Source organism: Homo sapiens, chromosome 17 (genome assembly GCF_000001405.40).
Source record: "Homo sapiens chromosome 17, GRCh38.p14 Primary Assembly".
NCBI lineage: Eukaryota > Metazoa > Chordata > Mammalia > Primates > Hominidae > Homo > Homo sapiens.
The window spans coordinates 12071473-12098878 of record NC_000017.11 but is presented as its reverse complement, the minus strand read 5'-3'; the positions used below and the strand labels follow the sequence as shown (position 1 = coordinate 12098878).

At 37.2% G+C, this 27406-nt stretch overlaps 1 protein-coding gene, 1 non-coding gene and 1 pseudogene across 7 annotated transcripts in view; 1 reads left to right on the top strand and 2 right to left on the bottom strand.

The window, feature by feature from the left end:
• MAP2K4 (mitogen-activated protein kinase kinase 4) overlaps positions 1-27406 on the bottom strand; it is a 122952-nt gene that overhangs the window by 44950 nt on the left and 50596 nt on the right. For all 6 annotated transcript variants that reach the window (XR_007065381.1, XR_007065382.1, NM_001281435.2 and 3 more), the window contains 2 exons: positions 17349-17523; positions 3185-3304 (listed from right to left, as the gene is read on the bottom strand). Coding sequence is in view for 4 of the 6 variants with exons in the window: in NM_001281435.2 (NP_001268364.1) it covers positions 3185-3304; positions 17349-17523 (295 nt within the window). In the remaining 2 variants the exon portion in view is untranslated. The remainder of the gene's footprint in view (positions 1-3184; positions 3305-17348; positions 17524-27406) is intronic.
• MIR744 (microRNA 744) lies at positions 16883-16980 on the bottom strand. The gene has a single exon (NR_030613.1). It is a non-coding gene; the product is annotated as a microRNA 744 (primary transcript).
• LOC124904155 (uncharacterized) lies at positions 21711-21802 on the top strand (annotated as a pseudogene).

Here is a 27406-nt window from a genome sequence, read left to right as displayed (position 1 = left end):
TGCAAGAATGAGAAAAGGAACATCTCATAAGCTCCTTGATGGATGGCTGACTGAACCAAACCAAGAGCTGAGTCTAGTGGTTGTATAAATTAGGTGAAATGAAATCCCTGGAGGGTGTCTCACAGTAACAGGAATTGAAAGCACTGTCTCTCTCACAGTGATAGTAAGGTAAGCTAAAAAGTCCTGACTACATACATTCATTTCTACTATTTCCTTTCATGAACTCAGATTTTGTGTCTATTATTGGAACTGAAGGTCATGTCACCAAAAAAGATGCATGTTTAAGTCATCAACTGCAAAACAAAAATGTTTCTTTAAAGTCTTATTCAATCTGTTTATTACTTACATATATATGAAAATATATATATATATACATACACACATACTTTTTTTTTTTTTTTGAGATGGAGTCTCGCTCTGTTGCCCAGGCTGGACTGCAGCGGCATGATCTTGGCTCACTGCAACCTCCGCCTCCTGGATTCAAGCGATTCTTCTGCCTCAGCCTCCCAAGTAGCCGGGACTACAGGCATGTGCCACCACGCCTGGCTAATTTTTGTATTTTTAATAAAGATGCAGTGTCACCATATTGGCCAGGCTGGTCTCGGGCTCCTGACCTCGTGATCCGCCCACCTCGGCCTCCTGAAGTGCTGGGATTACAGGCTTGAGCCACCGTGCCCGGCCATTTTAATATTTTTAACCTTTGTAACTTCGGGAAATACACTTTTACTATTCACTCTTTAAAGGTGACTAATAAAAGTAACACTTTTATTGTAAAACTACACTTTTATTGTAAAACTATTGAAAAACTATATTTTTATTGTAAAACATACTATTGTAAAAGTTGTTACTTTCTGCTTTTCTAAAACTCTTATTATTCAGAAAGTACCTATTACAGACTGCATTCTGATTTGGGAGGAAAGTTCATGTTTCATCTACTTAGGTATTTTGTGTCTTTGTACAGCTTAACTGTGTAGTTCCTAAGCCTTCACCTTATCACACATCTTATCCTGTCAAAAATCTTATTTAAAAAGCATATATATATCTTCATATCTGGACCACTTCTAATAAAATAGAAGGAACAGCAAGATTTCTGTCTCTGGAATCCCATCTCTGCTACTTGTTGGCTGTGTAACTTTTGTCAAACACACTAAATTTCATTTTCCTATCTGGAAAAAGGGGATAGATAATACCACCAAATCCCGAAGATTACTGGGAAGAAAACATATGTGAAAACAACAAAGCATTCAACAGACGTTAGTGTTTACAGCTGCATATGTCAACTCCCTTCAACCTTTCTGAGACATAAAACCAAATGTGACTCAGCTATCCATGATAACAAAACCATGGGAATATTGTTCAGACACCACTCCAAGCTTCCGTGCTTTGTTTCCACATCTTTGTCAATCATGAATATGACTTACTCTGCTTTCTTTTCATACAATCAGATTCCCACACTATCTAGCCCAAGGCTAGGTGTGTAAATGGTACATGAATGATTAAATAAATGAACAAATGAAATAAATTGGTATATTCCAGCACTATGGAGGTGATTTAGGGTTCAGGCAGAGCTGGGGAAAGTCTATAATGAAAACGAATACAGCACTGAAAAAGTTGACCACAGAATCTAGTTAGGAGAGAAAATCTAGTTCAGTCCCTAATTAACTAATTAACTATTGTTCTGCATATGGTGTGATGATTTAATGATCGTGAAGAAAAGTTCATAGTTGGGAATAAAGGGAGGAAGATATGGTAAGATTCTTGTGCAACATGAAGAAAGTTCCAAACATTTAGAATAACATTACATAATATTTAGGTCCAAGATACAGTCATGCACATGAATACATGACTGTATACTGATGTAACGGAATGCTGATGTGAAATGATGGAAGAAAATTAATAAATTCAGTATATCTGGTCATAAAAATGAATATTCTCATTATTTAAAGACAGGAATAGAAAAAAACTACGAGTTGAGAATTAACAATTAGTGATTCAACAAAGAAATGGGCTCTGTCATGAAGCAGAATGTGTTGTTACTAGTTACCTAGTAAGAGCCCAGAAAAACAAACAAAAACTTCAGAATTAGGTTTAGAATTAACTAACCTCTAACATTGTTTCCAATTATAAGATTGCATATACTTCTACTCAGTGCTACATTCAGCCCTGTTTCAAAAATATATATTAATTTTAAAGCCAATAACAACAAAAACCCCAAGGATACACTCTATAATCCCATCCCAAAAAGAAGAGAGCAGGAGGGTTTTTCTTACCAGTTTATAACAACTCGGTTATTCATCCTAACATTTGCAAAATGAGAAAGGTATTTTTTTTAGAGAGTATTTGAAATGCTTAGCAGTTCAGTTCAAGTCCTACTCAACTAAGTATCACAATTTTTGATGGCGGTCTAGGATATCATAATGTATTAATTCATTTACAGCTCCAGTTCTACCCCTAGCCCAAACTCACTTCCACATTTTAGGCAGCTGGATGACTGGAAATGAGTAAGTGGATTGAGAGCTGGAGGCAGAAATGATAACCCAAGTTGGGACACAAAATAACCAGAGGCCAAAAGAAGAAACATGATTATGAGACCAAGAAATTAGAGCTTTAGTTTCTACACAAAAATCTGGATAAGAGAATTAGAAAAAAATAATTTATATTGTAATTGTTAATTTCCATGTCTGATGGGTATACTTCAGGATTATGGGCAGGGACACATAAGTGTTTATATTAAATGCAGACATACACTTGATGACAGATGAGTAAAAGTTAAAATATAAAGTTGGCGGCGGGGGGGGGGGGGGGGGGGGGAGGCGTTGCTCAAGGCCCAATGAAAATCTAAAACTATAGCAAAAGTGCTGATATTTAGAAGTCAGCTGATTTTTCAGGTTCTTAAAGAACAGAAAATATTTGTATGAGATTTACAAATGACAGCCACCAATACTAAAATACACACACACACACACACACACACACACACACAAACACACGTGTGATTCACCCCTTACCCACCACCGCAAAAAGAGTCAGAAGTTAATATGTAAATTACCATGGTTAAACACTAAGATACTGAGATATTAACTTATTACTAATGTATGGCATTTAAGAATAGAATCGAATCCTGCCATCTTCATTTGTCCCAATTAGATATTCATTAGTCAGCTAAAACCCAGTTTATTCCTACCTCTCTGAAGAGTGCACCATAAAACTGAACAATGTATGGGCAATCACTACTCCGCATTACTACATCCAAATCCATAAGAAGTTGTTTTTGTTCTTTTTCATCCACTGTTGACCGAATTCTCTGGAAAAGAATGACAAAAGATGTCAAAAAAACACAATAATTTTGTCAAAAACACCAATAATTTTTAGTCTCATGGTAGAGAAAAACCGTTACGAGACTAAAAATTACCAAACTTCACAAATACCAGATATGAAAATTATCATCTTTCCTTATACTTCACAAGAATTACTTTAATCACAGAAAGTTTAACAAACAGCACTTAGAAATCCTTTAAAGGAGACAGGGCAATTTAACCATGAGCATTTACTAATAATGTTGGGAGTTATGCAACAAAGTTCTTAGGCAGTAAAAATTAACCCCCACATGCAAATATAAAGAAAATGATAATGAGTTTTAACAGTTTCATATGAATAATTATAGGTAGCTGTATACATACTTTTAATCACCGTTTCAAAATTGTATGCAATCTAGGCATTCAATGCAAGAACATCCCTCTTCACTCATTCACTCATGAGGACACTCATACCACAGTGTCCTCATTCATAAAGACGGGAAATAGTCCAGAACCGGATAAAGTGAATACTAGTATAGGAGCAGTGCACCAGGCAAGAATCCAGGTCTCCAAAATCCTAGATTGGGACTCTGTCCTTTAACTGCACTTTCTATACATTAAAAACAAAAAGTTCTACCTGACTCTCCAACCCATGAGTCAGCATGTAGGGCAGCATAAACCTGTGGAAGAAAACCTAAAACTGAGGAAACAGAGGGCTCTTTTTGTCTATTCCTAAGGTGCTAAAGCGCTCCTCCATATACTGCAGACCAGGGATATATTCCTAACCAAGCTGTACAACAATTTCTTTGCACATTTCTAAGAGACTGCCAGAAAACATTAAGTACCCCACCTCCTCCCACCTCTTATTCAGGAACAGTATAGAACACAGAGGTGTTGGGAGGGACAATATAGGAAAGAATCATGTTCAGAAATTATAAAAAAATAATAATAAAATTATAGTTTAACATCAAAGCATGCAAACAACTTCTGTTCTCATAAAAAAGTTCACAATGTCACATCACGCCACTGTGTACAATACATAGTGTGTACTTACAAGGCAAGTTAGTATCAAAAAATACACAAGGTGGCATTTTGTCTTCCAAAGACTTCGAAGTATCTGTCAAATGTTCTTGAAAGGGATGAAGGCAGTCAATTAAATTCTTGAGCCCATTTTACAGAAAAGAAGCCAGAGGCACAAAGAGATATAGAAGATGTATTTCATGTGACATGAGAATAAGCAGTTGTTTAAGGAACAGAAGTAGGTTCTCTCCGTTTCATTTTTGAGGAATTCCATATATTCCAAACAAATTTAATTTTGCTACTTAAAATTTACAGCTTGCTACCTACAGTATTTCATAAGCAAATAAAATTTAGTAACTGGCATCTATGTTACAGACACAGATTTACCTACAACTTTTATATTAAATATCAATGCTCAGATAAACAAGCACTAAAGTAAGAATGAAAAATGGAAACAAAATAAGACTAGTTCTATTAACGTTAAGGAAAGTTTCCCTTCTTTCTCATTTTGATTATTTTCATAGTTTATGGATTAATAATCTTACTTTTAAATCAACTTCAGCATGTTTGCTCAAAAAGGATATTTTTAAAAGTCAAAATAGCCCAGAGATGTGATCTGTATTTGTTCAAAGCATGATGTAATAATTTTTGTAAATATTCTACCTTTATACCTGTTTTTTAAAAAATAACTCTAAAAGTGTAGCTGTGAAAATGCTAATTTAGGAAGGTAATTATTTATAAAAGAATCTTAATAATCCTATATATCTAAATTTAAAACAGACGAAGAGTTGTTTAATATTAGAGACAAGTAGAGAAGAAAAATCAAATAACCCTTTGGTTGGGGAAGATTTCTACCTCTCACTATTAAAAGGTGTTAACAAATGTATTTTTTTCTATTTTTACTAGTATGAATATATTGGCAAATGGATATATACTAACACACATAAACTACTATTTTTAAAAGGTGTCCTCTTTACTAGTTTATCTTTTGTTTCACAAAACTGGTTGTGTGGTATGCTAAATACACATTTGTACAAATATTTATATTTCAACTAGGAAGCATATTACAGTCAAAACCTCAACAGTTATCATCAATAACTGACTTTTGGGAGCGAGCCTGTGTCCGAAAACCCTACCGTAGCTACAGAAAGGATATATGGACTACATGATCTAAAGGCCTAACTGAAGTTCCAACATCTTACTGATACCTAACACTGAGACAATCTCTGACAGAATTGTTACTAATCAGAATGTAGAGAGTTCCTAGCACAGCTCTATCTTTGAGATCATCAGCACTGGCAGGAAAACCTATTCATCTGTAAGTATTCTTTAATGTCACTTTAGTACAAAATAGAACACAGAGCAGCTGAATGGCCTACTAGTCTAACATGAAATTGATTGTGCTTTTCAAGAGATCAACACCTCCCCACATTCTCTGAACATTTTGTCTAAGTATCTGGCAGTAGGTAGAAAAGTAGCTGCTGGTATTGCATCTGAATTGTTTGGAATTGAACAAATACAGCTAACTTTTTTTTTTAAGACGGAGTCTTGCTCTTTCGCCCAGGCCGGAGTGCAGTGGCGCGATCTCGGCTCACTGCAAGCTCCTCCTCCCGGGTTGATGCCATTCTTCTGCCTCAGCCTCCCGAGTAGCTGGGACTACAGGCGCCCGCCACCACTCCTGGCTAATTTTTTGTATTTTTAGTAGAGACGGGGTTTCACCGTGTTAACCAGGATAGTCTCGATCTCCTGACCTCGTGATCCGCCTGCCTCGGCCTCCCAAAGTGCTGGGATTACAGGCGTGAGCCACTGTGACCGACCTGCTAACTCTTAATTATACTAATGTTTTAGGGTTGAACTGTAACATTTATCATATGTGAGGAATTAATAAACTATTTCAAAAGGCCTAAAGGACCCCAAAAGGGGATCAACTACAAACACATGCCTATAATAGCAGTAACTTCAAATTAGTGATTTTAATAACTCAATAAATAACTCAAGTAGAATACATAATGACAATCAACAATTCAAATTAGAGAATACTTAAGAGACTAAAGCTACTACCAAGAAAGTTTTTCTAATGAACCATCAAAACAATATCTATGGGAAAGACTTCTACATTTGAATCAAGTGAGTCCAGGATCTTCTAACATTAAAGGAGCATAACTACCTAAAAATTGAACATCAATAAGAACAAACTTCTCTTCCCTTTATAAAGCTGTCCTTAAGAGCACAGAAAAATGGAAGTAACAAGGTGACGCCAATTATATGACTTGAAATCCTCATAATCATAATGTTCAGAAGCAACAACCATTGATAAAAAACTTTGAATAGCAGGAAAATTTCATTTATTTATATAAATTTAAAAGTTAGATAAGGCTGTTTACTTGAGCTCAGCAAACCTTTTTTTCCCTGGCAGTAAATAGTAGAATGAAAACTACAGGAAACCATAAAATACTTAAGAAAATCAACTCAAGAACATTAAGTTTTTTATATTATTTTCAAAATCATTCTTTTTCATTATGGGGTTACTGAGCTCTTTTACTTAACACTACTTTACTAACTTAGCTTAAGTTATTACACGCTTCCAGGAAAATTAAATTGTGTTTCTTGAAAAAGAATCCACATCTCTTTCCCAATAATAAAAAGTATTTTCAGATTATTTCAAGTTTTACTTTATTTGGAATATAACATAAAGAAAACATTGAAAATCAAAACAAAAATTACTACTCTACATATATAAGTAGTTTTCTATAGTAAAGAAATTTATAAACTTGAAGTTAATTTTTTTTAATTGGTGTCCAAATCTGTATTCAAGATTGCATATAAGCCCAATAAAGCAGGTAAATGCCAATAAAAACAGCAGGTAGATACAGGTCAGAAATGCCAACATCACTCCAATTGAGAGTCACTTAGAGACACAGGAAAAAAAGATTACATTCCCAGTTCTCTGGCTTTAAGACTATTAATATTATGCATGGTTCTTGTCCAATTAAAAAAAAATTCCAAAAAGCGTATTTTTTCTAAAACTGTCAGTCCAACTCATGCCATTGGTTGGATCAGCCACAAATTTAGTTGTTGGGAGTTCTGTATGGATTAGGCCGCGGTAATAGAAAGTTAACAAGTCCCATAGGACAAGCTAAAAATGTTCAGTTACAAATGATCCCCTTGTCCTCTACTCCATCTCGTCACAAAACACAGCAACATCCACTTGGTGAACAGTCCCAATCATATAGAAATGTCCCAAATTCCAAGTTGTTGAAAGGCTGCTTTCCTTCTTTTTGTGCAACATGGCACCTGGAAGTCATTGGTAGATTTAAATGTTGACAGCTTATAACATCGATGGACCAAAATCTTGAATAATATTTAGCCTCATGTGGAATGCCTCCATTTTTAACAACTTGAATTTAAAGTATAAATAACTCTTTTACTGATACTGAAGAACAATGTAAATGTGGTGCTGTTCTAGGTGTCCTCCAACTTTACACTGAGATCTCCAGGGGAGCTCTCTCTTCACAGTGACACAATTCTCCAGCCTCATATCCAAACCCTACCAAATCCATCTCTCACATACAATTTGTTGGTGCTCATCAGGGATGAATGACTAGCAATAAAACTAACATCGGTAAGTATGAAAAACTTTAAAGCAGACTATGACACATTGTTATCATGAAAAGGGACAAGAGGAACGAATAAAACTAAACTCGCTTAAGGACTGGAGTGGAAGAGCAAAGAAAAAGAAGCAAATAAGAGGATGGACAGAAACAGGCAGTATATACTGTCAAGGAAAACTAATTTATTCCCTTCTTACTCAGATATTATGCCTCAATCCCATCATAATGGTGACTTTTTGTTTGTTTGTTTATTTCCCTTCATTTTCTAAATTTGTTTTCATGGGTGGGAAGAGACAGGGAGAAGGGATAGTGGGAAAGCGCATGATGATGAAGTGATTGCTATTAAGGGGTAAGGTTAGGAAGACTCAAGTGTGGCAAAGGAAGGCAGGCTGACAACGCAAAGGCTAAGGATGGAGTTGCAGACGAGGCAAAATAAAGGCTCACGTTGTAGTTCCTAAGAAGCAGGTCACCAAGTAGCATTGTGCCTAGATGCTCAATAAATACCTGGCTGATTCTGATAGTGGTCCTTGCCAGTCACCCTGATTCAGAGTTAACCCTTACATCTCCATGTTAGGGTGCTCAAAGATATCTCAGTTACTAGAGAGGTCAGCACACACCTTATCCCAAAGCACCAGGGCCTGCCTTGAAATGACCCATTCTGTGACTGCCGGTGTCCTGATGTGACAACTACTGATTCTCCCAAATAACCCAGTTTTCCTTCCTACCAAGTTAAGCTCTTGAACAATGTATGTGAAGAGGCACTCTGGGTTACCTGATCCCATTCCTGCAGGGAGAAAGGGAAAATAATAGGTCATTATATACTCAAAAGACTCAAGAGTAAAAAAGGATCGGATGACAAGTCATATATGCACTTCATAAACAGAAGTTCTACGGAGGACATGACAGATGTCAGTTCCTAGGATCTGAACATTCTAGGCAAAAAGGATATGAGTCATCAGCAAACATGTAAGGAATCAAGAACTGAGGAGTCCAGAAAATGACTTTAGAAAGCAGTGGTGCCACAGACACACTTGAAAACAGCAACATAATCAAATAAACTTACAAAATGGCTATCAATTCTAACTGATGCTATTTTTGTTTTGTTTTAAAATGGAGACAATGCATGGAGGAATGAGATGTGAGGAGCATAAGAAATGGGAAAACTGACATGGAAGGACATGACCATCAGTCCTGGCAGATCTCTAAATTCTCACATGACAAATTCTTGTCAGGTGTTTGTATGGCTCAGCTGAGTGTCCGAGAGGGCAGTATAAAAAGACAGTAAGAGCAGAGTAGGAGATACATCTCCCTGCTGCACAGGTACACCTGTAGCTGCTTAGAGAAGTTAGGAATAGGTAGAGTATTCCAAAGTAAAAGACAGGTGAGTTCCTGGATCAGAAATTAGGACTCAGACACAATGAAACTCAGCAAGGTAACGAATTCAATCATTAGAGGAAATCAGTGTAGGGCTTTAGAGATTCTTCCAGGCACCAATTAAAACAAATAGACACAAGATAAAATAATGCAAGCTACTAGTAATTTGGCCATTAGCAAGGCAAAGCATCATTTCCAATTTACCACCAACCAAAATCAGAATACCAGAAGGCATTTACTCTTCAGCAATCTATGTGGAATCTGCTATAACTAGGTTAGCTAAAACCCATACTTCAGTGCAGGGGGCTTGTTCCCCTACATAAGCACCTACTATCATCTAAGGTTACCAAAAGAATCTGTATTCTGAGCCAGGCAGGGTGGCTCCCACCTGTAATCCCAGCACTTTAGGAGGCCGAGGCAGGTGGATCAGGAGGTCAGGAGATCGAAACCATCCTGGCTAACACGGTGAAACCCCGTCTCTACTAAAAATACAAAAAAATTAGCCAGGCGTGGTGGCGTGCGCCTGTAGTCCCAGCTGCTGGGGAGGCTGAGGTAGGAGAATGGCGTGAACCCGGGAGGCGGAGCTTGCAGTGAGCCAAGATCATGCCACTGCACTCCAGCCTGGGTGACAGAGCGAGACTCTGTCTCAAAAAAAAAAAAAAAAAAGAATCTGTATTCTGTATTTCAAGTAATTGCCAATTGTCCTGTCCAATTATATGATGGCTAAAACCACCACACCCAAGACAAGAAGCAAATCAAAAGCTCCCTATGATGACAGTTGTCCACCTTTTGTACCAGGTAGATATTAGTAAATATTTAATTACCCATGCAGAAATCCTAGAACTAGTACATGAGCAAACACAGCACATGGGACCTCCTCTCCACAGAAAATAAAGAGTGATATAGCAAAGGTTCAGCATTAAAAATCAAAAGAAGAAAAGAACAAAGATTATCTTAATCTTTTACATATTATATATAATATATTTAATATATATTATATATTATATATTTAATATATATTATATATTAGATATAATTTAATATATATTATATATTACATACATATTATAGATAATATATTAAATATTGTATATTTAATATTATATTTAATATTGTATAATATTTAATATATATTATATGTAATATATTATATATAATTTATATATAATATTACAACACAGTTGTAATATTTTGAAAACGCATCCAGTTTCTGTGATCTACAAACACCAATACTGCTATGCCATAAACATACCCTTCATTGTTCATTAAGTAATCCCTGCTAAAGATCCCTCTTAAGGTTACTGTCATTAATGTGAAGGGGAATCCACTGCTAGTCAATGATTGACATCAGATCAACCAAAGTCAGTGATGTAGAGGATAGGAGAGCAAGGATCACACTCCTCCAGTGTCCCTACTATTCTGAACCCTACAAATATGCTGCTTTCCCAGCAAAAATGTCCAGAATTCAGTTGTAATACAAAGTTGGAAAATCCTAGAAACCAAAGTTGGAAAATCCTAGAAACCATAGCAGCACATCAATATCCTATCACCTTCCTCTGGGCTGCAGAAAATCTTAGGTATTCTTATTTTCCTAATTTGTGGTACGAGTTCCTCCTTATCAGCTAGAGTCTTCTAAATAGATCACACACGAAAATGGCCATGATATCTCACAAAGCCATCATTAATAAGGTCAAAGCAGATGGCAACATTAACCAAAACAAACAGCAAAAGAAGCAAGCAAATTATCTAGAATGCTGATCACAGATGTAAATCTTTCTTTCCTGTGAAAAAATAAGTGTCTGTTAAGTCAATTATTTTAAATTGTGAAAGCATATATGATTTTACTACGGGCAGAAGAAAGAATGCTAATTCTTAATTGCAAAAATCATTCAAGTCTTTTAAAATCAATTTAATAAACTCTCAGTTGTATCTTAGCCCCATTAATTAATTAATTAATTAATAGTAATACCCCATTCTTCTCACTGGGGATACTGAGATCCACTTAATTCCTTTTACCTTACCTTCTGCTACGTATTATCAGAGCACCTGGGAGTTCAGTTCCAAAAGCATGTGTTATATTACATTATGGGAAGAGCTGCCCTGAGGACCAAGTTAATGGAACAAGTTTGACATGCCTTGGTAAGAGTGGTATCATCTTCTTCCTCTTTACTAACCACATCATCCACATTTAAAGAAACAATGTCAATCTTAGCACTGAAATTTTTAAGGGTCTGAAGACCATAAATGACAGATCATCATTTCAGTACTTACGACAATAAAGTGAGGTAACAATAGAAATCTGACATATACAACAAATTTCAGAGGCATAGCCATAAGATGACAAAGAATGATAGAAAATATGCAGGAAATATATCACATACTGGTTCAAATGACACCCACGCAGAGTGAGGTATGGTAAGACAGGTTTTTGGCTGGGCGTGGTAGCTCTCACCTGTAATCCCAGCACTTTTGGGAGGCTGAGGCGGGCAGATCACCTGAAGTCAGTAGTTCAAGACCAGCCTAGCCAACATGGTGAAACCCCGCCTCTACTAATAATACAAAAATTGGCCGGGTGTGGTGGTGCGTGCCTTTAGTCCCAGCTACTTGGGAGGCTGAGGCAGGAGAATCACTTGAACCCAGGAGGCAGAGGTTGCAGTGAGCCAAGATTGTGCCACTGCACTCCAGCCTGGGCGACGCAGTGAAACTGTCTCAAAAACAAAACAAAACAAAACAAAACAAAACAAAACAAAAAACAGGTTTTTCTCCAGATAACTATGTAAGTTGGGATTTAGTCCAATGTCAAAATTCATTCAGTTTAACCAAGTGATGGTAGAAGGTTTCAGAAACCAGATCTTTAGAATGTTCAAAAACATATAATGATTGACTAAAATTCACCTAGAGCAACCATTTCCAAACTGTCTTAATTGTACCCCTATTAATTCCTCAGAGCTGGTGCCCCAAGGGCTTCCAATATGGCTGCAGGTAGAGTCTGCTTCCCACCCTCACATAACCCCGAACAGTACTGATTTTGGCTGTTTTATTTCTTGGGTTGCACATCCAATTCTGTTAATGGAACAAACTCACAGTCTGAAAAACATTAACTTGGAGTGACAGCAAAACAAGCACACATGTATACTGGGAATTCCAACCCCATCTACATAAGCAACCTGAGTTCAAAATCAAGGCTGCCTAGAGGCCAGCCCTGCCACACCCCTTGAATATGTCTCCTCCTGGAAATGCTCTACTTACACTTTTCATATGACCACCACAGCTTTTAAGCAATATTAGGAAGCATAAAAGAATACAGCTCAATCACAGATGCCTTAAGTAAGTCACATGATCTGACCGAACGACGGCCTAAGATATTAGACTACAGTCTCAATTCTAAACAAAAGAGCCATGACATCTGCATCCCATAGGTGATTTGGATAATCAAATATGATCACTGCGGCCCTTTGGAAGTGAATAAAATGGCCTAACAAAGCACTCTATGCCATCAAAAAGGAACTTTTCCAATTGAAGGCCATCCCAGTATCATTCTAGTGCTTTCAGAACATGCAAGACCAATGTTTAAACACTAAAATGAACCTCCTCAAATCATTATTCATCATCATAATCCCCACTGAAATAATTTGGTAATGGAACTTTTGACAGAAGTGGCATGGTCTCTCCAGTGGCAGGAAAACAAGCCAAGCCATACTTTTCTGATACCTGACTTCCCATACTCACCATACTATCTACACCAGGGAGGCCTACTCAACCAGCAGATTAAAGTTCCGTTCTACTCAGGGAACAGCTGAGCTGTGGGCTGCTGATACTGTCAGCAGAGGGCTCTAGTCCTTACTATCAAGCATCAGGATTAGGCTGGGTCTCAACTCCAGGTCAAGGACACTAAAGTCAAAATCCAAATAATCAAGGAGAGGCAGGATTGCAGGAATCAAAATCAGGTTAACAGGCCAGAATCAGCAAGACTCACATCAATGAAACAGTAGAGGTGAAAGGGTAGAGCTGAGGTTCAAAAGAACAAGACAAGTTAGGCAGATCTCCAACAGAAAGAAAATACTTGAAACTCTTGCATACCAGGTCACATTGCTAACTCAGTCCGGCCTATGCACCTACCCTCAAACAACAGATCTGTTTTTCCTGATTAACCCAGATAATTTCTCAAGCAGAAGACTGAAAAGTCATCATAATGATCCACAATGACAAATTTAACATGACACATTCTTATTCCCACCTACCTGCTCAATATTATTCAGTTCTTCAATGAGATGACAGCTTTATTACAGTATTAACCCTTCACACAACAATTCAGATTCCACTGCCTGCCATCATCTTTAGTGACAGGTACTTCAGTCCTTATACTCCCTCTCATTTTCATTCTTACTTTTTCACGTTTCTTTGGTTTTTCGCACATATTCTACAAACATGAAAAGGGCATGCATACCTTCAAGAAGTCAATCTGGACATGAGTCTGCTAGAAAACAACAGGGAAGCTGGTACTCTAGGCATGCAGGATTTTTTACACTGCAGGCAGAGTCAGGTGGAGAATATACTGTCAGGCATCAGAGGCTTACAGTCATTCTTCCCTCTGTCAGCCATCTGAGCTTGTAAGCCCATGGTCTAAGCTGTGACATTTCATTTACTCTCTTTTCTCCTGTGTCCCTAGATTTTCTGTGGCATCCTGATTCTGACTGATGATGCTAGGTGTTTCTCCCAGATCTGAATTACCCTAGCTCAGAAACCTAATCCTAACTGCCTCTTCAAACATTTGGTCTGAACTCTGGGCTTTACCCCGCTACATTTAACCAGAGAGCTGGTTAACATATAGATGAGGTACTCCTCATCTATATGTTAATTGATGTGTTGTATTGCCATCCTCTCCCATTTCCACCTGCCAGAGAGCTGAGCAGGCACCTACTTTATGTAGAGGACAGTGACTGTTCATGTCTAATGTTTTCATTCAGTGGTTACCCCACCACCGTGCAAAACAGGACACTAAATAAATGTTATTTGTAAAGGATACTGATCACAGTTAGAAGTAAATCCCTGGTAAGAGTTGAAGGTTGTTCTCCCTGAGCTTTAAGAAACCCCAGAGGCAACACTGGCTTTGCCCTAGGCAGCCCTAAGACTAGTCATTCAGGCACAAGTATACAAATTACTCCCACTCACAGGAGAGCAAGACCCTTTTCCCAAGCACGTGCAATTAAAACTAAAGGGTAAACCATGTTCACATCTTAGGTCCTAATGCAGAAACTCACCGATAGCTTGGGAGACTGTCCTCAAACCAAACATCAAAAAATTGTTTTAAGTATAACTCTTACAATGTTACCTCACTAAATCTGATTATATCAAAACTGATTTTTAGATTAAGTCTTTGGGGTAATTAACTCTGGTTACTAAGAAGTCACCTTTTTCAAATATTTCTTATATATGGCAAAATAAATTTGGGGAAGGAATTCCTCAGAACTAAAAATGAGGAATAATACAAAGAAAAAAATCAAGCTAATATCACAGTTCACTTTTCTACAGATATTGCAAGTAAATCTTAAGGATCATTTCCAGCTTAACATCTAATAATGCAATCCTTCTTTATTCTCAAAGTGTGTATTAAGATGTTAGCACAGAGTTACTTCAAGCGTGTTTCTCATTTCACCAACAGCAATGGAAAGCTCTCAGCTGTGTGAACCACCGTCTCATGGTTCCTTTAAAACCGTAAAGTCTCAAATCAAACACCTCCTTAATCATACATTGATTCTGTATATTTGTGCCTGTCAATCCAGTCAATGTACCTAAATGAGGAATGAATGAACTCTCTCAAGTGTGATGAAAGACTATTCTTCTTTGAAGAAACCAATAATAAATGCATTCTTTAATTCAGAGATGGCATACATCTGTCATCAATTGGTATCAAATTTTAATGCATATTAATGCAAAAACACTTATTCTTCCAGTATTAATGAAGTCATGGAATCCAAAGGTACTCCTCAACTATATGTTAATTGATGTGTTGTACTGCCATCCTCTCCCATCCCCAACTGCTATGCTTGTTCAAGAATTCGAGATGGTAAACGAAGCTAGGTAGTACCATGTGGTGGGTATACATGTGACAGCAACCAGTTTGTAGGTCTCATGACTGCCTTGAAAGTTCTTCAAGTACAGCTGGGATTTTTAATAGCATCCCAACTGGAACTGTCACAGTAGCCAGTAGCCACTGATAATGTAACATTACAAATGATGGACAACAATTTCCTATTTTCATTCTTGAATTCCTACAAAACTTGAGTAAGCATTATACAACCCAAAATATTATCAAATTAATCAGTGAGAAAAACTTTTAAGTGTCAAAAGGAAGTACCCTCTTTACCTTTATGACCTTTTTAACAATGGCTAAAATCAATCCATATTACTAAAATGTTTAATAATGTTCATCAACAAAGTTGAAGCACACATAACACAAACTGTAAAAAGCAGGAAATAATTTTTTAAAATTACTTTCCCTAGTACCTGAAAGAAAAGTTTACAACTTTAACTATATAGGAAACCTTTCCCTTAAGATCCAGCCAACTAAAACTGGATGTCACACACAGGTAGCACAAAGGGACAACACAACATTCATCCAGGAGTCTAAATAAAATGACTCTTTCCACTTACACTGCAGTGGCACAAAATAGGAATACAGAAATCATTTCACATTCCAATAAAACATTTTATTTTAACACATAATGCAGAGTTCTTCACCTGTGCATCTTTAGAGGTCTACGGTTTGTATACAAAATGTTGTGTATATACACCTGCCTATGAAAAGTCTATAGTTCTCACCACATTTTAAAAATACAGCCAAAAACAATGTTAGGAACCCATAGAGAGAATCATAAAAATTTTCCCTACCACTAATTTAACATTACTTTCATATGACCCAGCAAAAAGAAATGCTCAACAGTGAAGGATACTAAAATAGTTACAGTAAGGTTTGGCTCACAACAGACTTCTACACAGAAAGCATTTTATTTTAATTTAAATTCATTCTCAAATGTCAAGAAAAAACTAAGGACTCTTATCAACCACTCTGACAAACTCTCAAAATAGGACACTAATAGGAAGATGATTAGCTTGGACTATATGCAAATCCATTCTGAATTCTTGTAAACTGAAACATTTTTGTTCCCATAGGAATTTTAAGCTCAGAGAGGGTATGGCCACAGCTAGCTTTTTTTCCTTTGTTTTTGCAAGTTGTTCCCCCTGTTGCTGATTTTCCTGAAATATCTTACATACAGCAAAGATTTGTTAAACATCTAAACAAACAAATGAATAAATTACAATTACATGAAACTAGGAGTCAGATGGAAACCACCAGTTCTTTACAGGTACCAGCATAAGCTTGCCAGGTATTGTCTATGGATCAAATCTCTGTTTCTGGCCATTTTTTTTTTTTAATGAACATATTAAGTGGCACGACACAATAAGGACAAAATGTGACAACATTATCACAAGGTATGCATTTCAGTACAACTTTAAAACCAGGGAACAGGGCAGTACTGAGTAGAGATGAAATAAACAAACAGAAGCCGAGCCGGTCAGGACCGAGTAAGGTTGAGGTTAGTGGCAACAGCATGTGCGTGGTTTCCAGGAAACCTTCAGTAAGACTGCTGTTAGCCCTAGCCCCGCACCTTGCCCAACCCAGTGTGCTGCGTCTTCTTCCAGCTCCCGCCTGGCTCAGTGCAGCACTGCCCTGCTCCCAGGGGTGCAGCCGCCCAGCCTGAACTCACCTTGGCAGTAGAAGGGCCTGAAGTTTAAAACATGTTAATGCATCATGCCAAAAATGCAATCAACATGCACACTTCATACACTCATGTTTCCAAAGAGATAGAAAATGTGCCACCAATAAGAAACCTCTACACAGAACACCCTCAAAGGAGTTGGAGAAACAATTTTTTAAACACCCACATTTACCACAAAAGTAGGAACACAACAACAGTGGTATTACTGCACCATGAAATTTCACCTAATGGATTAAAGTACCAAAAATAATCATGGCATCACCTACTTTAACTGCCATTATTTGCCCACTTGGTTTGTGGACCATTTTGTTGACAGAACCATAAGCTCCTCGTCCAATTTCTCCAAGGTCTTTCAAGTCCTCTGCAGTGAAATCCCAGTGTTGTTCAGGGGAGATCTTCAGTTTTCCTGATGACTCAATGCTGTGTGTTCTCAGTCTCTCTCTGTTAAAATATTGGGAAGCAATTTTTCCACATTTTAAATAGGTTTTAACTTTTTTCTTTTAGTACTGATTAATGTGTGGGAAAAATGTTTTCTAAATTACTAAAATAGTCTGACCTCCAGGTTTTTGAAGTTTTTCATTTGTGTCATCCTGGTTTTTTACACACTGGATTAAGAATGATCTAGATTTAGGTAGTCAATAGACACAGCTTCAACGGGATTCATAAAAACAAATTGCCAAGAAGATTTTTAAAAATTCCCATTTATTGATTAAACTAATTCTGCAGATCAGTTTTCATTTCTAAATATAAGATCTTATTCAAACTTGGATGATGGTTTATCCAAACAGCATTATCAAGTGAGAATCCCAAGAGCTGCAAACCTTATTGCGAAAAAGTTCTTACCCTATCTTACCCAACATTAGTTATTCCAGTGCCTCAATCTTCAGTTAGTACAACTATTCCCAAGGTTTGCTGTACCTTACAATCACCTGGGGGAGATTTTAAAAATCTCAATGCCCAGGTATCGTCCCATAGCAATTACATCTGAATTATCCAGGGACAGGAGTCAGAAAACAGTATTTTTAAAGACCCCCAGATGATTCCAGTAATGTTTGGGAACTAGTGCCTTAGTATACTGTCCTGTTCTTGTTAATACCATCCTGAGGTGGGAGAACAGTTAACTGAATAGCTAGCTGGCTCTAAGAGGAAAATTGCCATGTGCTATTCAAAATTGAAATTTTCAGCCCTCGTTCGATAAAGCAATGGGATAAAAAATGAGTGGCTCGTAGACAAAAGAGCTCACTCATTACATATTTCCATTAAATAAAAAATCATCTCCAAAATCTCAACCTGGAGATCAAAGTATTAATAACTTCTAACCATGCTTTGTAAAAAAGTAAATCCAATGAAAAATGTAAAATCAATCTGTTTCTCTCTCTTGCTCTCTCTCACACACACACCAAACCCCAATGTGTAGGAACAAACTATCAACCATACACACAATGAAAGAATTCATTAAATATCAACTACATTTTTCAGTTTCATACTAAATGATCAGGATCTCTTTTAAACTCTGATCCTATGATGCAAACAAGCAAAGTTTATGTGCTTGGTCATTATTTTTCTTCTTCCAAAATTTAGGAAAGTTTTCTCCAATTAGTAGAATGGTTTTCTGTAGCAACCTTTAAGGTTCCCAAAAAACTTAGAACTTTAAAATCTACCCCCACTCTGAGAATAATCGTATGTACTAATATTAAGGTTCAAAGTTACACTTCAAAGATTCATACACTTGGTCTAAATAACAATTTACTAAATCAGTGTTCCAAATAACAGACTTTCAAATCATACTAAGTGATAAGCTTTCATTCATACAAGTGCTTTTCAGTTCAAAGTCCTTTCACCCATATTATTTGATACTCTAGCATCCAGAATCACAAGAAGCCCGGAAATCAGTGGCATAAGTGACCATTTAGGTGAAGATGAAGCTGGAACTGATCTTTTAAGATGGAAATCAGGTCTAGGCAAAAATAGGAAACTCTTCTTGGTAATCTTTTTCATGAAGTAGACAGATTAAGCCTGAAAAAAGTTCTAACATGAAGAAGTTCCATGTATAATGATTATTGTTCTATAATCTTTGGCAAGTAAATACTATCTCAATGGCAAAATCACTGGTGAAATATACAGCACCAATCTACCACTGAGGGAAGCTGAAAAAAAGTTAATTAAAATTACTTGTAAATCAGAAGCAAAATTTTTTACAGTGTTCGCTAATTGAAGGGCTGTGGCAGACAGGCTCCAGGAAGTCCTCATGATCCCCACCTTCTTAGTGTTCGTATTTTTGTGTAGGCATATTTCTTTGGGTGTGAGTGGGACCTGTGACTTACCTCTAACCAAGAGAATATGGTAAAGATGATATAATATGACTCTCATGACTACATTGCTATATAATACTTATGCTAGCATTCTTGAGAACTGAAATGAAAGATATTTCATTACTATATAGAAATTACAGAATGAAAACAGTTACAATATTATGTCTTATTTTAAAGATCAAATTTTAGTATTATGGAATATCTCTACTAATAGTTTAGCTCACTGTAGTTTCTTTTTAAAACTGAATAAGTTGAAAGCGAAGTGATACAGGGTACCTACTTGGGCTAATATCCAAAAACTGAATAAGGTGTCAGATGCACAATTCTGTAAATATACTAAATATACTAAAAGCAAATGAACTATACACTTTAAATGTGTAACTGCAGAATATGTGAATTACATCTCAGCAAAGCTGCTAAAAGAGGAGAATGTGATTCCTACCCAGAGTTCCAAGTTTCTCATTTAGAAAGAAAAAGTGCTGTAAAAACCACAGAAAAACATGCCACAGTTATGACATCACCAAGGCATGTTCATACATTCGTCTTTATACTGGGCTAGCGATCTTTCCAGCAAAACTGAGTCCATTTCACAGCAATTGCTTTAACAGTAGGTACAACCACAATGGCTTCCACAGGACTATACACAGATACAGCACTGGACTGACTAGATACAGGAACTGGACCAGAACCTTTCCATTAAACTCTGGAGTCAATCAATTTCTGTCCTAAACTACGTAAGAGGCCTAGGAAAGAAAGAACATAAACAGTAGAAAACACACCCAATGAGAAGATTGGTGAAAAATACAAACCAATAAAGATGTAAAGTTGCCCTTACTTGTTCATAAATATTTGCCTACAATTATACTCTTAAAGAAAAAAAAAGTTCCCTGACTTTTCCTTGGGATATCACTTTCTTCAGAATGGGGACTATATTTTATCAAAAATAATTCCTAGTACAATTGGATTGTTTGTAACACAAAGGAAAAGTGCTTGAGAAGATGGACACCCAATTTCCCACGATGTGATTATTACACATTGCATGCCCATATCAAAACATCTCACATACTCCATAAATATATACACCATGTACCCCCCAAAATAAAAATAATTCCTAAATATCCCTCATCTTTCCCTTCATAATTTTCTGTGCATTATTTTATACAGATCACCCTTACCTGCCTCCAATGAACACTACATAAGGTTCCAACCCCAAGGTTCTCATTACCAACCTGGGAAACTCAGACAACAGCCGCTGTGGCAGTAACTATCAGCTGTCACCCAACATCCATTCTCCTCTTCATCCTCCCTAACAGGATCCTCATTTATGTGTGGCAGCAATGCACCCAGCTAAAAGGCTACATTTCCCAACTACTATGAACTGAACTGTGTTTCCTCTCAAAATCCACATGTTAAGGCCCTAACCCCAAATGTGACTGTACTGAAGACAGGGCCTATAAGAAGATAATGAAGGTTCAATGAAGGTTAATGAAGGGTGGGGCCCTAATCCACTGGGATTAGTGTCCTTACAAGAAGAGAGACCACAGAGTTCACTCTCTTCTCATATGCACAAGAGGTCACTTGAGCTCAGAGTGAGAGGTGGCCACCTATAAACCAAGGCAGGACGCCTCAGGTTAAAACCTACCTTGCCAGCACCTTAATCTTGGACTCTCCAGTCTCGAGAATTGTGAGAAATAAATTATGTTGTTTAAGCCACCTAGTATGTGGTATTTTGCAGGCCAAGCTAAGTCACCAACATTCCTTGCAGTTAGAGGTGGAAAATAGGAACACAGTACTTAAAAGGAGCTAACTCAGTTGGAAAAAAGACTCTTTTTCTTTTCCTCCAACCTCCTTCTTGTTGCCTGGAATGTAGGTAATGACTAGAGCTCCAGCCACACTCAATGCCCTGCAGAACTGAAATAATGTCCTGAGAATGATGGAGCAGAAAATAGCATTGACTCCAATAACAGTGAAGCTACTACACCAACCCTAGCCTGCTTATCTCCGGACTTTTCTATGGAAAAGTGAAATAAACTATCTGGTTTAAGCCACTATTTGTTCCTATCCTTGTTGTTGTTTAGATGCAAACAAACTTAATTTTAATTAATACAGCCCCTAGCATTATTTTATTTCCCAGGGATTCTCAAAGGAGGTAGTGCCCGGACACCTCCAGCATCAGCAGCAGTTTGGTCATCCCAATCACTGGGAAGTGCAAGCAGCATTTAGTGGCTGGGGGCCAATGATGCTAACTGTCTCCAAATCCACAGAGCAGTTCCAGCAACAGGCCAAAAGTATTTCCTTGAATAGAATCTTAACTCTAAGACTATACTTTCAGGGGTCATTTCTATAGTTCATTACTAGAGAAGTTTCTCTGAACATGCAGAGCACCTAAGATGTTTCCGTTCTCCTGAACTCATTCCTGATGTTTGATACCCTGGTTAAAAACAATTCAGTAAAGCATCCTGCCTCAGAATGACTTTCCTATCATCCTTCATGTGTCATTCCAAGGTTTCTTCATAAGTCATTCCAAGTTCTCTAGTCCATACCACAGTACCCTGCAAAAAACACATGAATAAAGCAATACAATTTGATTAAGATACACACACAAAAAATACACACACACACACACAAAATACAAACACACAAAAAATCCGTAACTCTGGTGTCCCTGATTTCAGTGCCTTACTATTCCACATCTAATAATTCTTGGTTCCCAGAGACTTAACAGTTCCACATTCTAGAGAAAACACATGCACATACACCCAGAAAAACTGCCACAGGTGTTACAGACATTCAAAAGAAGTGAAATATGAATGGTCCTAACTTTTGCGAAACATGCAAGATTATAGATAGAATACTTAATATAGGGCATGAATTCATATAATACAGGCCTTATTAAAAGTACAACTCAATGTACAGAAATTATATTTTGATATCAGAGATTTATCTTGTTAGATTAAAATCTGAAAACTAATTTTTTGAGGCTACATGTTTGCAGTGAAGTCCTTCCCGATTATTAATTTATCTTCTGGATAGAAATGACAAATATATCTGTTAACTTAAATTTAATACTGAATTAACACTACTGTATTTTAGTTGTTGTCCCTTCATTGACCCAGACTAATCTACTAGTCTGAAATTTCTGAAATCCTACAGACTAAACACACACACACACACACACACACACACACACACACACACACACACAGAACTGTGACATAATGTCCCAGAACATTAATCAGACTGGACACTGAGAAAAGCTGTATTTCTATACAATGTCTAATAAAGCTGCCTGGAACTTCATATATAGGCAGGTGGCCTTGTTTTGTAAAGAAACACAGTGGCCAGTCAAGTAGGGTTATTAGAACAGCTCTAGCCACATCCTCCACCTTCACTCCCACCCTCTATTAGATGCAGTGTGTTTGCTGTGCAAATTCAGCAGCAGTACCAGTACTTGAACCTCTTTTTCCAACCAGACACCGAATCTAAAATCCCTCCTAAAGCTACAAAGGTAGAAGATAAAAAGGAAAATGGAAAAATCAATCATAATCCAGAAAAAAACCACTATTAACAATTTAGTACATATTATTTTGTATCTTTGTATACTATGGGAATAGGTTGCAAAAACAGCATATTATACCTACTGCTTATAGATTTCACTTAATATATTTTAACACAGTCATTAAATAATTGGTTATCACTACTGGAATGGCTGTGTACCAAGTCTGCACTGATTTAGGAGTACTATCAGCCAAAAGGTGCCCACTGTACCTAGTCAACAGCACCTTTTTCCTCATGCCAATTTGAAAGGTGTTAGGGTTAGATCATTCTTTTCAACTGCTAGAGTTGAACATTCTTAAGCTATCTGGTGAACAAATATGTCTTTTTTGTATTATTATTAACTGCCTGAGATAGCGCCCCTGAGCCTTCCTGGCCCAGGTGTTTGTTTTGTTATCGCTGCTTCTACTAACAAGTTCCTTACCTATTAACACCATCAACCCTTGTCCTGCATTGCAAATATTTTCCCAGTTTGTTGTTTACCTTCCCTTGTGTTTATGAATTTACATTTTTAAAAAATTCAGTAATTTGTATGCTTTCAAATCAATGACTGCCCTCAAATTCTTTTCTTTTGCTGTCATGCAGTATCATTTATATTCACAATTGCATCAAAAGGGATTTCACTCTACCACTGCTTTTCAGGTCCCTAGTTATGTCTTTTCCTCATCTGCCCCCTTTCTATAATCTTGTTGCGTATCCATCCAGTCTGTTCTCTCCTCGAGATTTTTCCAATCCATTTTTATAAACGCCATGACTTCTTTCACTGTATTAACAATGTCAGTCACTATTGTAAGAAACTATTTTGAATCCTGCAAGATATCTTGTTTGGAGATGCTCTTTCTCAAAGTCTTCAAGATATTATTCCCTAGTTCCACAATTCCTGTTTCCATCTCACAGTGAGTGTCAATGTGGCACCTCCACTTGTCCTACTATGAAGTATCAGGAGACAGACTTACCCTCATACCTAAAACAACTGAAAAAAACAGACAGAATATATAGGCAATCTGGAAGACACTGGAAATCATCAGGAAACAAAGGGCAGCAGACACTGAAAGACCGGAAATATGTAAGGTGAGCCCTACAAGTGTCCCCAGCTTACTGCTGAAGAGTTCACCAACTGTGATACAGGGAGCGGGGATCCAGGAAGATCCTGGCAGTACCCTTGAGTTGCGGACAAGGATCTGGGAATCTAGGGAGACCAAGGTAGCCAAAGTTCACATGGCAGAGTACAGGATAAGAGACAGCTACACAGAAAGAGAACCCCACCGATATGCAGAGGGCCCTCCTTGATCAGCGGATGATTGTGAGGAACCTATACAAGCCTGAAGAATAAGCCACCTAAAAGGATTAAGAAGGCATGATACCCAGGCTCATACAAGGCAGCTCCTATTCTTAGCCACTGGAGTGGAAAGCTTCCTGATTGGAAACCAATAAAGTAGTTAGAAGGATTTTACCTTACTAGTAAGGCAAAATTAGCTCTAGAGTAGTCTCATCTGCGAAAGCTAAAAAGCAAGACCTGAAAGGATCAAACTATCTCCAAGTAACTTAACCAAAGAACAAAACTCAAAAACATTCATGAAAATACAAAAACAGCCATCACACAATAATCTCTGGGATGCAATCTAAAATTACCACAGTATACAAAAAAGCAGAAAAACATGACCCATAGTGAAGAGAAAAACATCAATCAATTGCAACTGACCAGAAATGACAAAAATACTAGAATAAAGACAATGAAACATTTACCACGTTCCATATATTAAAAAAACGAAAGGATGGATAGAGTATGTTAAATATAGACGTGGAAGACAGAAAAAATAACCAAATCAAATGTCTAAACACAAAAACTACAACAAGAGGCCAGGCACAGTGGCTCACACCTGTAGTCCCCGCACTTTGGGAGGCCGAGGTGGGCGAATCACGAGGTCGGGAGTTTGAGCTCAGCTTGGCCAACATGGTGAACCCCCGTCTCTACTAAAAATACAAAAATTAGCTGGGCGTGGTGGTGGGCACCTGTAATCCCAGCTACTTGGGAGGCTGAGGCAGTAGAATCTCTTCAACCCGGGAGGCAGAGGTTCCCAGTGAGCCGAGATCACGCCACTGCACTCCAGCCCAGGCAACAGTACGAGACTCCGTCTCAGAAAAAAAAAAAAAAAAAATCTACAACGAGAAGGAAGAAATTCTGGGAATGACGGATATGTTAACTTGACTATGGTGATGGCATCACAGATGTACACATATGTCAAAACCTAGCAAATTATACGCTTTAAATATGTACAGTTTATTCTATGCCAATTATACCTCAATAAAACTGCTGAGAGAAGGAGAGAAAGAAAAAGAAGATTATCCTTGGGCTGCACTCTACTTGTCTGATACGGATTTGCCCATTACATGCCTATGGTTCAAAGGCAGATTTGAGATATCTAAGGCTTAGTATATTACAAATCAGAGCACTCACTGCTCCCATGGTAAATTCTCCTCTCTCCAATTTTCTTGGTCTCTAATACTGTATTCTGGACTGATAACAGCAATATAAAAATACAATCCTAAGTCTATACTGGGCAGCACTATACTGTTACTACAATCCTTCTCTACTTCCACCTAGTACACTTCACTCATAATGACACTTCCCAGATAAAATTCATCAGCATCCTCCCTCTTCCCATCTCTCCCCAGTTTTTTTCTGGTAGTTACCAGTGTGGGCAGGAGAAGAAATGAACATGAAAAGGGATGAAGTCTCTGCTATAAAAGAATCCCTGGGTAAAAATTTTCCTTATTCTGGCTGTGTTACTATTAGTATCCATTATCAGATCCTATAGGGAGTTAAGTCATCTTAATTTTCAGTGTTTCATATTTTCATCTTTGTTTCTTAATAAATATTTTAGCAGGACACTGCTACTCATATATCATTTTGTACTACAAACCTCAGATTGCTTTTACAAAGTCAGAAATTTAGTTCTTAAAGCAAATTAAAAACCAAGAGTCTCAACTACTTTTCATTTGTGATCTGTTAGCTAATTCTTAATACTATGTGAGTTGTGTTTTGAACACCTACTTATTAAACACCCTCAAGCTTACTTTTATTATTTTTGAGACACTTATTTAAACATGTCGATGAGAAAAGGAAAACAATTTTATAGAAATAAATTTTATGTATAGACACATTTAGGAACATGTGTATTTTACATAACACAAAGACCTGAAATCTAGGGTATTCATGAGTACCTTATACTGCTTAAATTTTAGCCTGTACATGTGAACTATGATCAACCAGCTCAATTTAATCCCAATCTATGCTTTATACCTGATTTTATTCTAGTTCCTTATGATATTCTTATCATATACTCATGACACTAACAGAAAAATTAAAAGTTAAAAGTCTAATTGTAGTTGGATTCAAGGGAATTTGTATCTTTCTATGAAGGTATTTAGGCATACAATTCAAATGTTTTGTTAAAGGAAGAAAATAAGAAAACTTTCATTCCCATGGCTTCCTATTTGATATTCAGAATATACATGGTCACAGACTAACAGAATTTGATTAGAAAGAAAACGCAGACTTCACTCTTGTCCTTCTAAGAAACTTCCTGAAAATACTGTATTGGGCTTCATGTTCCTCCTCTGTGCCCATAAATGTTGAAATCAAGATACACCTAGTCTGTTCCAAACTCCTGATCTACAGTCCTAGTAACACTTTCAAAAAAGTATATTAGGCTAGTTTGGAACTGCTTACTTACTCTTAGTGAACCCTAATTTGGATTAACCATTTCTATTTAATTCTTCTATGATCATCTCCATGAAGTCTGTATCAGAAGCTTCATTTCAAAGTGCGCAGGTGAGAATATAGGCAATATAAGGTGGCTTTTCTCTGCAGCTCCAGCGTCTACATTGGAATCCCTTGCCTACTATTTGATTCTTCACCATGTGAATTCATCACTTTTTAAACATTTCAGAATATACCCAAATACAGTAAATGAGACTTCCAGGGAATGCAAATAGATACCTACCACTGTTATTATGGTTTACAAATATGCCCATATGAGAAGAGGAAAATGTCACAGACCTTCTCTCCTGCCCAGGCCAATAGTTTGTATACTCCCACAATGACAAAAAGGCTCTCAACAAAAGCCAAATCTCAGGTTCACTGGTCTATACATTGGTGTGTACCTTCTACACTGCCACTCCTCTACTTGCTTATTAAGTCTACTTCTTTTGAATCATATATATATATTTCCCAGTGCCGTAATTTAGCGATGAGCCATTCCTCAAAACTGTGATTTTTGTTTTTGTGCCAACCATTTTTCATTAAAATTTCAAATTCATTTTGTTGTTTTTTTGGAGGTGGGAGTTAGGGTGAGAAAAATATGAAGAGACAAGAAGAGAACGATATGAAGCATCAGGCACTGGTCTTCATCCGTCTCCAGTGAATATTTTAGTACTCTTTCTCCTATGAATTT